The sequence below is a fragment of the Homo sapiens genome, chromosome 3 (genome assembly GCF_000001405.40).
Source record: "Homo sapiens chromosome 3, GRCh38.p14 Primary Assembly".
Taxonomy (NCBI): Eukaryota; Metazoa; Chordata; class Mammalia; order Primates; family Hominidae; genus Homo; species Homo sapiens.
The window spans coordinates 146535507-146545416 of NC_000003.12; the positions used below are offsets into that span (position 1 = coordinate 146535507).

Below are 9910 nucleotides of genomic sequence, written 5' to 3' on the forward strand. Positions count from 1 at the left end.
TTTTTTTATGTCTACATGTATGTATATATACATATTTACACATTTATTCACACACATATACACATTTTATTTCTATTTATGCAAATACATTCATACATACATACAATTATATATACAAAACTGAAGAGTTAAAAGTTGCCTATGACCATCACCAGATACATTTTTGTAAATTGAGTGGAATCAACTTAAAGTCTGTGGCAAATAAACCAGTATAATTCTATATAAATTTACATTTAAAAAGCTTTGAGTTTTGTAAGTAAAAAGAAAATCATAAAACTTCACATGGGAAAAGCAAGGAGTCTAGTCCTGGAGATTATTTCATATATCTAATAAGGGTGACACTGTAGTGACAGATAAATATTTTTTTGTTACCTCAACAAAGATGAAAGAGAGAATAAAGAAAAGCGTTTCAGAAAAACAGGATTTAATTTTTGAATTTAATTTTCCCTATGTAGTGGGAATTTTGAACATAATTTTCCCTCTGTTCTTCAGAACCTTGATATCTTAATAAGACAGTCTTTTATTACTTGCTTGATAAATATCCATCTTACTTAGAATTTTCTTGAGAGAAAAAAAGCCAGAACATAATGACTGGTATTTACTTAAAATACAAACATGTGTCTGTGATGAAATATACATTGAGGTGTGTATCTGAGGAGTTTATTACAATGAACTCAAATCTTATTATCTGTTAATTAGTATGACTTGAATAATCTTTATACATATAAAATACACAAAGAGAATATTGTTGTGGTTTAAATATATGTTACAGAACATATTTCCCAATAAATCTAGCATTTCTTAGCTTTCCAAAAGGCTTTCGTATTTTTAATGAAGAACCTAGTGATAGTGCTATTTTTGTACATCTTCTCTATAGTCAAAATACTGAACTAGACATTGTATTCTGGAGCATAAACAACAGAAAACAAATTATACACTTTCAGACACTGAATAAAACATTATGACAAATAACAAGTTACCAACAGATTAACATTATAAGGAGGAAAGTAAACATTTAAAATAAATTACTTACTTTGTTTGTCCATGATTAAAACAGTTCTGAAAAAGAAGATCTGACATTAACACACTGTCTACAAGGCCACAAGTCAAATATAACAGTTGAATCGGGATACTCTAAAACTACACAGTCACATTCATAGGATATTCCTCTTTATTCATCCAGCCCAGCCTTATCTGGTCATTTAAGCCCTTTGTGCTTGACTGCATTCCCCTTGCTGTGTTTCTGAGTAGGAATTTAGAAATTGTTGGTCAGCTCATGATGGTGAACACATTCTAAAGCCTTTTGGGAAGAGGGTCCAGTGAGGCAGAAAGCCATAAAGACACACTATGAGCTAAGACTCCAAGTAGTAACCAAGCTAATAACATCAACCTTCACAACTTGAACAATCTAAAGGAAATGCTTGGTTCAGTTCCCAGTCTTTGGACTGGAAATGCTTGGCCCAGTCTCTGGGCCCCAGGAATGTTCCAGCAGGAAAGCAAAAAATGTTAATTATCAGGTCACACTACTGCAATTATCTTGGGAAATGTAGGTCTTGTGGACCTGTTCTTTGCAAATTTGAGAAGGCCTGAGACGACTCCGTGCATTCAGAGATTTTTTTTTTTTTTTAACCAGAAAACCCACTCTCAGGAGTTGTCACAGCCATAGCACCTTGACCACCCAAGTGAAACTTTGTACTCGGTATTTATACAGAAACATAAATTGCAGCAAACATTCTACTCAATATTTCTGCCTTCCAGTGCCTTGATCCGATCCTAGTTTTTCCCACTACTATCCTGTCACTACTTTTTCCATCTCCTGTAGATCCCGATGCCCTTCATCCCTTTTAGCGACAATGCATTAGGCAAAACTCTGCTACCCAACATTTTTATCTTGGACCCACACACACTAACACAAACTGCCCATCCCCTTCCCAGGCCCACTCCAGTGCTGGCTACCCTTTAAATTATCTTACTGTGCAATCCTAAGTGGTTAATAAGTCAAGTGATCCCTCTACATGCTCAACTAAAATCAAGACTTCCCAAGAAGAAACCGCCTTCCTCCTTGCTGTTTCAGAATTATTTTTTGGCCAGGGATGGTGGCTTATGCCTATAATGCCAGTATTTTGGGAAGCTGAGGCAGGAGGATCACTTGAGTCCAGAAGTTTGAGATCAGCCTGGGCAACATGGACAGACACTGTCTCTACTAAAAAAAAATTAGCCAAGCATGGTGGCATGCGCTTGTAGTCCCAACTACTCGGGAGGTTGAGGTGGGAGGATTGCTTGAGCCTGGAATATTGACGGTCTAATGAAGTATGATGTCATCACTGCATTCCAGCCTGGGTGACAGAGCAAGACTGTGTTTTAAAATAAAGGGTTTTTTTTGTTTGTTTGTTTTGTTTTGATTATTGCCAACTTTAAGCACAAAATTTTATAATCAACTTAAAGTCTTAAGAACATTCCAATTATAGTCAACTCTTAATTATACATACTCAAGAAGTTCAGCAATGGTTGAATAATTCAAAATGGGTTTATGTGGTCCTGAAATAAATCAAAAGATGTGTTTGTGTTACTAACTTCCCAGATTTTCTTAGGACAATAGGAATCTCAGTTTGCATTAACTGGTCAGAAATTAATGCTGTAGACCTCAAGCCAGAAAGGTAGAAATATTAAAATTTATACTTTTCTGCTGTTAATCTATAAGGTGAGCAATAATAAACACATGTAACCAAAGTAGACTAAAAGTTTTCAAGACTACATTTGTTTTAGATTCCATCATATGAAGAACTGTGTAAGACTAAATTCATACATAAGAGGACATGATTTTTGTCAATCTCACATTTCTACCATCAAAGACTATACTTTAAAATGCCAATTTTTTAAAAATATGCGAAGAGTACTTTAACAGATATATCAGAAAAGATTAATACATACCGAATTAGAAGTAGGTAGTATCCTTTAATTAACACACTGGACTATACATCTCTAAAGTCTTTACCTGCCCCTTGCTTCTTATAGGATACCTCTCTATAACATGCTTAGCTTAAAAAAAAAATTCTATGGCCTTTAACCAATTTTAACAGAAATTTTAAGAAACTAGTGTTTCAATTATTCTCACCGTCCCTACAGGGTCAGAAAAGCACTAAATAATGTCTAAGGGCAAATCCTAAATAAAATGTAAGAGAAGAAACTTAGGCAAGTTTTTATTTTTTATTTTTTTTTATTTTTTGGCAAACAGACTACTCAACTGAAAAAAATTCATAGTTTCTGGATTGCAGATCTATACATCTGAAATAGAAAATATTTTTGTCATCATTTTAAAAATAATTTTTCTTAGCATTTAGTTGTTTTAGGCTTTCAAGTCCCATGCAAGCCAGAAATAAAGGATGTGCTGCAAAGATAGGGAATTCATAAACCCATGCTATGCATCCTGGTAAACAGTGGTCCCCAACCTTTTTGGCACCAGGGACCGGTTTTGTGGAAGACATGGACCAGTGAAGCAGGGGATGGTTTTGGGATGATTCAAGCGCATTACATTTATTGTGCACTTTATTTCTATTATTATTACATTGTAATATATAACAAAAGGATTATACAATTCATTATAAGGTAGAATCAGTGGGAGCCCTGAGCTTGTTTTCCCGCAACTAGACAGTCCCATGTGGGGGTGATGGGAGACAGTGACCGATCATCAGGCATTAGATTCTCATAAGGAGTGCGCAACCTAGATCCCTCACACATGCAGTTCACAATAGGGTTCTTGCTCCTATGAGAATCTAATGCCACTGCTGATCTGACAGGAGGTTGAGCTCAGGTGGTAATGTATGTGAGCGATGGGGAGCAGCTGTCAATACAGATGAAACTTTGCTCACTCTCCAGCTGCTCAGCTCCTGCTGTACAAGCCCAGTTCCTAACAGGCCACAGACTGGTACTGGTTGGTGATCCAGGAGCTGGGGAGCCCAGCTGTTAAGAATAGGTGGAGGATCTTCAGCAGGGAGTGTCATGAGTTTCAAGTCGTTGCCAAATGAATAACAACCATGAATACACATGGTATTTGCCTTTCACAAGGTCAGAGATCATTCTCTCCTTGCACAGAAATACCGGAAAGGAAAAGAAGCAGATTCTAAAACAATGACAATTTGTTCATATTTGCTCTTTTTCTTCCCACTTGGTTACATTATTTTTAATCTTAAAAGATAAGTTAGTGAGGATGAGACTTACTGGCAAAACTACTGCAGTATAAAATCTGGGTCTTTGCTTTACTATAGGTTTTAGAATTTTAGCATTTATATAATATCTCAAGCATTGAAAGTGGTATGTAATAAGCTCTGGTGCAAAATGTTAAGTGTTCCTTGTACCTGTACATGTGCCAAGTAGATAAGGCACTGTGTGCCAGGTCACTAAAGTCATCCACTATGTGGATGCCTACATTCCTGTTTGCTGTTATAATGATCCTTTGGGTTTTCTCAAGCTTAATAAGTCTATTCCCAGAAATACATCACTCAGTTTGGGGAATAACTGGGTGTGCCCTGAATGAATTAATGAGTTAATTAATTTAGCATGATAATTCATAAATAATGGCTTCTACCACACTTATTTCATTTTAAATTTCAGAAATACTCAGAGAAAGGGAAAATCATCTTTATGCTGTACCAAAAAATGTAATAAAGTTATGTTGTATATTGTACCATTGGAATAATAATTACTCCAGTATGAACACAGAACTTCAAATATAATCTGATTTTTTCTAACTCTGTTAACTAAGACTTTGGAGGAAACTGAGGCATCATATATTATTTGCATACAAGTACATCTCTGTTAAAATTTTTCTATCAGAAATCATAAGTTCCCATTGCTTCTCTGGACTATTTGATAACTGTAACCTCTACTACCACGAAGAGGAAGACACAGCACAGGGGATTTCCAGTTCTGGCTTCAAAATTCATATTACAGTGAAACTCTTTTGACCCATCTCTTGAGGTCCTGAAATTTTTATCTTACTGCTTTCAAAAAGTATTACTGTAAAATCTGGAACCCAAAGGGGAAGCATACTTAATTTTGAAAGTTCCTAAAACTAAAATTTGTTTACCCACACCAGATTTGGATTATTTATTTAAATTTACTTGTTAATTGCCTAAGAACAAGCTCCTTCCCTCATTCCCTCAAAACAGAAGATAAAGCATTTCACATTCTCTTCAAGCCCCAAGATAGGGATAAATGTTTTGAATTATGTTAGCAAAATTCTACTGCTCTGAAAACAAGAATTCTAGGTCCCTAACTTCCTCCGAATAACTGAGAATAAGATACTAGACTAGAGGAAAGGTAGGAATTTCAAGTAGGCCAGGGGAACATTACAGAGGTAAGTCACAAATCAAGTAACTTCCATGTCATTTGGGTTATGTTTGTACATAAATTTTGTACCTTTAAAAATGTTTAGTTAACATCTAAGAAGGAAAAATATTCATCTGTTGAACTCCAGTTTTGGTAAAAGTTAAGCTTAGAAAAAATTGATACATTTAAGCAAATGGGTGGGGCAAGCAGGTGGTGAGGCTTTGAGTATACAGCACATCATACTTGTAAGATACGGGATGAAACTGAGGTGACTGTGGCTGATTATAAATGCAAAGTACCTTGTAACAAGGAGCCATTCCATAAAAATCCTCTTGTGTATTTTATGCTGAACAAACAAAACAAATATGCTTAAAACCAGTTTAGGATAGCCTTTTATAGCATTTTATATTAAACCTTGAATAAAAATGTAGATGATACATCAACTAGGACCAAGTGAGATGGTAGTGATCAAGTGTTCTACAAAACTAAAAAGTAAACCAAAGAGACAAAGGAAACAAATACTGAATCAGTTATTCTCATTTGATTGCTTTACTACTCTGAAAAGCCTTTCCTGACAACCCAGAGCTCCCTCACAAATTTGCTTCCTTTCCTCCTAATAAATGGTGAAACTAAACCCATAGAAATAAAAGTGATTTTAATAAATGTGATACAGCTTGCTAACTAGCTGAATTAAGATGATTAATAATTCATATTCTTTGCACCGATGTCTCTAATTCACTGAAAAAAGGAAGACTGACATCCTTCAGTGAAATTTGTTAAAAGACTCTTTTAAGGTTATCTTTCTTATGTAAGACAGAAAAGGCTTGAATTTCAATTTACTCTTGTGCCACTTAGCTTTAACTAGGCCAGGTGCTATGGTTAGAATGTGTGAGCTAAGTTCATGTGTTGGAAACTTAATTTCCAATGCAACAGTGTTGGGAGGTGGAGCCTAATAAAATATGATTAGTTTATAAGCACTCTACCTTCATGAATAGATTAATGTCGTTATCTTGGGAGTGGGTTTGTTATTGCCAGAGTAGGCTTGTAAGGAAATCAAGTTCCACTCTCTCTTGCTGTCTTGCCCTTCCACTTTCCACCATGGGATGATGCAGTAAGAAGACCCTCACAAGATGCTGGTGCCTCCATACAGTCATGCACCACAACAACAGATCACATATATGATGGTGGTCCCATAAGATTATTTTTACTGTACCCTTTCTATGTTTAGATACATAAATACTTGACATTGTATTATACTTGCATACAGTATTCATTACAGTAGTACATGCTATACAGGTTTCTAGCCTAGGAGCAACACCTTATTCCACACAGTCTAGGTCTAGTAGGCTATCTGCCACCTCACTGGTCATTCCTTTTCTTGAATGAGCCAAGTTCCCTCCAGCCCAGGACTTCTACCTGTGAGGTTCCCTCTGTCTATAATGCCCTCCACCAACCCACTCACCCACACGTCTATAGACTAGTTGATTTGAGACTTCCCTCAGCTCTCAATCTGACTCTCCTCAACACCCCCAACCCCACCACCCCAGCCTAAATAGTAGGCTGGCTATAGTATCCAGGATTGTGTAAGTAAATTCTATGACGTTCTCACAACCACAAAATTGCCTCATGATGCATTTCTCAGAATGTATTCCTGTATTTAAGCAACACATGATTATGTTGGACTTCCTAGCCTCCAGAACTGTAAGAAATAAATTTCTGTCCTTTATAAATTACCAAGTCTCAGGTATTCTTTTACAGCAGCAGACAACATATGGAGACATCATTTTTTTCTAATCACTTCTTAAAAGAACATATGGAAAATTGAAGAGTGCAACTATTAAGTTCTGATTAAAAAGTGTTTTGGTTTTTTAATTTAGCACTATTCAGGGCAGTGCAATACAGTGTGTATATACACAGATACACATATATACACATAGAAATTCTTCCTATATAAATATTCACTAAATATAAAGCTTGTGTGGTTTTAAAGGAATTAATTGAAGGCATAGAGCATGCAAGGCACTATACCAGGCACTAGAGCACAATACCTAGACACTAGGGGAGACAGACAATTAAGAATTAAATATATTATTAAAAATACTCTAAGTGCTATAAATAAAATTAATGTTGCTATAAGAAAGGGTTATGGGGCACTAACTTAGATGGTGGTAGGGGGTTTAAGAAAAGTCAGACTAGGAGATGAAGGAAGTCTCAAATCAACTAGTCTATGGAGGTATGGTGGGTGGGGTGTTGGAGGGCATCATAGATAGAGGGAACTCCATAGGTAGAATTCCTGAGCTGGAGGAACGTCCCTCATTCAAGTAAAGGAAGACGAGTGAGGTTACAGAGCAAAAGAGGGAGACATTCTTAGAGATGAAGATGGAGAAGTACATAAGGGTCTGCTCACACACATCTGATGTCTCTCCACCTGTATGTACTCTAAGCTCCTTTACAGATCTAAAGGCAGTTTGATCTATAAACCAGCTATTTTACATGCCACTTTTCTATCCAATTGCATAAATCCACTCTTTCCCTTTATATGTCTTTTTCATTTCCCCGCATTTTCTCATTGTTCAAAGCCCTACTATTGTTGTAAACAGGGTGGCATTAAGACAAAGGTTTGCTCTTAGAAAAAGTTCAAGAAGGGAGCCCCCAAACTGTCTGACACGTTTAAGTGTCACTTGTAGTAACCATGTATCTCAATGTGATAAGCCAGAAAAAACAACGACTGCCTGTTCCTGGAACTGGGAAGTGGCCATGCCAAGACTTCCAGGAATAACAGTGCATGAATGAAACCACCTGGGAACCAGAGAATCAGCTTGGAGAAGCAGGAACTTTGTCAAATATTTAAAATAATAAGAGCTAACTTTCACTGAGTACTTTCTGTAGCGCCAGGCACTGCTCTAAGAATTTTACATTAATACTCTGTAGCTCATTTAATAGTTACACAATTTCAGAGATGAGGCAATGGAAAGAACATATATAAGAAGAAAGTGGCTGACAGTCCACAGACGTGAAGCAGTAGAGGCCGAATTTAAAGTCGGGGAGCCTGACTGGAGCTAATGGTCTTAGGAACCGTGCTAGATACCGCCACTATCTTTCCTAAGCTGGTATTGTAGAGGGCCTAGCATAGATGTGGGCTCCGGCGGACTTCATTGAATACTTACTGATAAATGACAGCTTGCAGGCTGTATTAACCATTCCTTCTAATAGCCCCACTACGCTGGCACATGCTCCTGAGCCCAGACTCTACCCAGGATTCAGGGCCGCTCTCTACCTGTAAAGCAGTGTAGCTAAGGGGAAGCTGAGCCCCGCAAGGCGTTTTCAGGCAGGGCACCCCTTGTCATTCGAATGGTTCTGGGGTGAGCCCGGGTGCCGCTGGGCCGCCTGGGGCCCCTTGCCGTGTACCTGCTCCACTTCCAGGGTCCCTTTCAGAGGCCTCTTGCATTTCTGGCCCCAACCTTCACCCCACATCCTCCACCCCCAGAGCAGCAAACACAACCTGCGGGCCCTCGCGCCGGTTCCCCACAAGTTGCCCTCCACACCTGACCCCGGCCCTGGCCCCAGCGCAGGCTCCGCGCAGTTCCCGCGCCCAAGTCCCCAGGAGGCGGCAGAGAAAGCCGCCCGCGCACCTCTGGCTGCCGCTGTTTCCGCTCCCGAGCGAGACAAGGTCCAGAGAGCCGGGGCCAGGCGATGGCTTCCTCTTCTGCGCCTCTAGACTGCCGGGCACAGCTGCTGCGCAACCTTCTCAGAAGTCAGCCGGAAAAGGGTCTGGGAGTAACCTTTGCGCCAACACCCGCGGCTCCTGGTTTCGTTTCCTGAATCTTACGTACACAACACGGTTTCCTTTTCCCGGTTCCCGCGCTGGCGCTCGGGGACCCACGAGACTACTGGAGGGTGAAGGAGCTGGAGGAGGGACTGCGCCCACCCCCTGGTGTGAGGCCCCTCCCCTACCCCCGACTTGCTTTCTTGCTCATTGGAGAGACTCCAGAGACGTTTGTCCGGTGGTTAAGGAGAGGAACTGGGACTCCGACACTAACTGGAACTGGAAAGTCATCAGCTGGGGAGTGGCCTCCCCCGGGAACTTTCTTTACTCTGGCTTTGACCTCCATCCCTCGGAAGCCCGTGGCTTTTCAAGGCGAGGGAGTAGAGGCAGCTTAAGACTACAAATGAGGAGGGGCCAAAATTGTTTTTCTTTATGGTGCCTTTTCTTTCTTGCTGTCTTGCTCTTTCTTTCCTTCTATTAAATTATGTGATATTACTTTTTAATTTTTAAGCAGTTATTTGAATGTTTTCGAGCTCACTTTATTTTTTTATAAATATTGTTCCTTTTTAAACTAAAATAGTTTTTATTCTGTGTATTTAAGTTATTTGTATGACATATCCATCAACTCCTATAATTACACATTTCCCCCCTTGGGGCAAGAGCAGCTATAATCTACTTATTTAGCATAAATCCTGAATACCACTATCATTAACTATAGCCCTCATGTTGTACATTAGGTCTTCCCATTTGTTCATCCTACGTGTTTGTAACTTTGTATACTTTTACCTAAATTTCCCCATTTCTCCTGACCCCACT

The 9910-nt window shown here is 38.9% G+C and overlaps 1 protein-coding gene across 23 annotated transcripts in view, besides 1 other annotated feature; it reads right to left on the reverse strand.

The window, feature by feature from the left end:
• The window catches only part of PLSCR1 (phospholipid scramblase 1), a 29428-nt gene extending 20327 nt beyond the window's left edge, over positions 1-9101 (reverse strand). For 8 of the 23 annotated variants that reach the window (NR_175994.1, NR_175995.1, NR_175997.1 and 5 more), the window contains exons 1-2: positions 8961-9101; positions 1034-1059 (exon numbers count right to left, since the gene is read on the reverse strand). Coding sequence is in view for 6 of the 23 variants with exons in the window: in NM_001406036.1 (NP_001392965.1) it covers positions 1034-1046 (13 nt within the window). In the remaining 17 variants the exon portion in view is untranslated. Of the gene's footprint in view, positions 1-1033; positions 1060-2489; positions 2539-3245; positions 5675-8960 lie in introns of all 23 variants that reach the window. The other 15 variants (NR_175998.1, NR_175999.1, NR_176000.1 and 12 more) reach the window with 7 other exon arrangements.
• Positions 8951-9430: an enhancer, noted in NCBI's record as "active region_20674". NCBI's record gives its function as "activates an Ori minimal core promoter by ATAC-STARR-seq in GM12878 lymphoblastoid cells {active_cell/tissue: GM12878}" and the evidence as "EXISTENCE:reporter gene assay evidence [ECO:0000049][PMID:35858748]".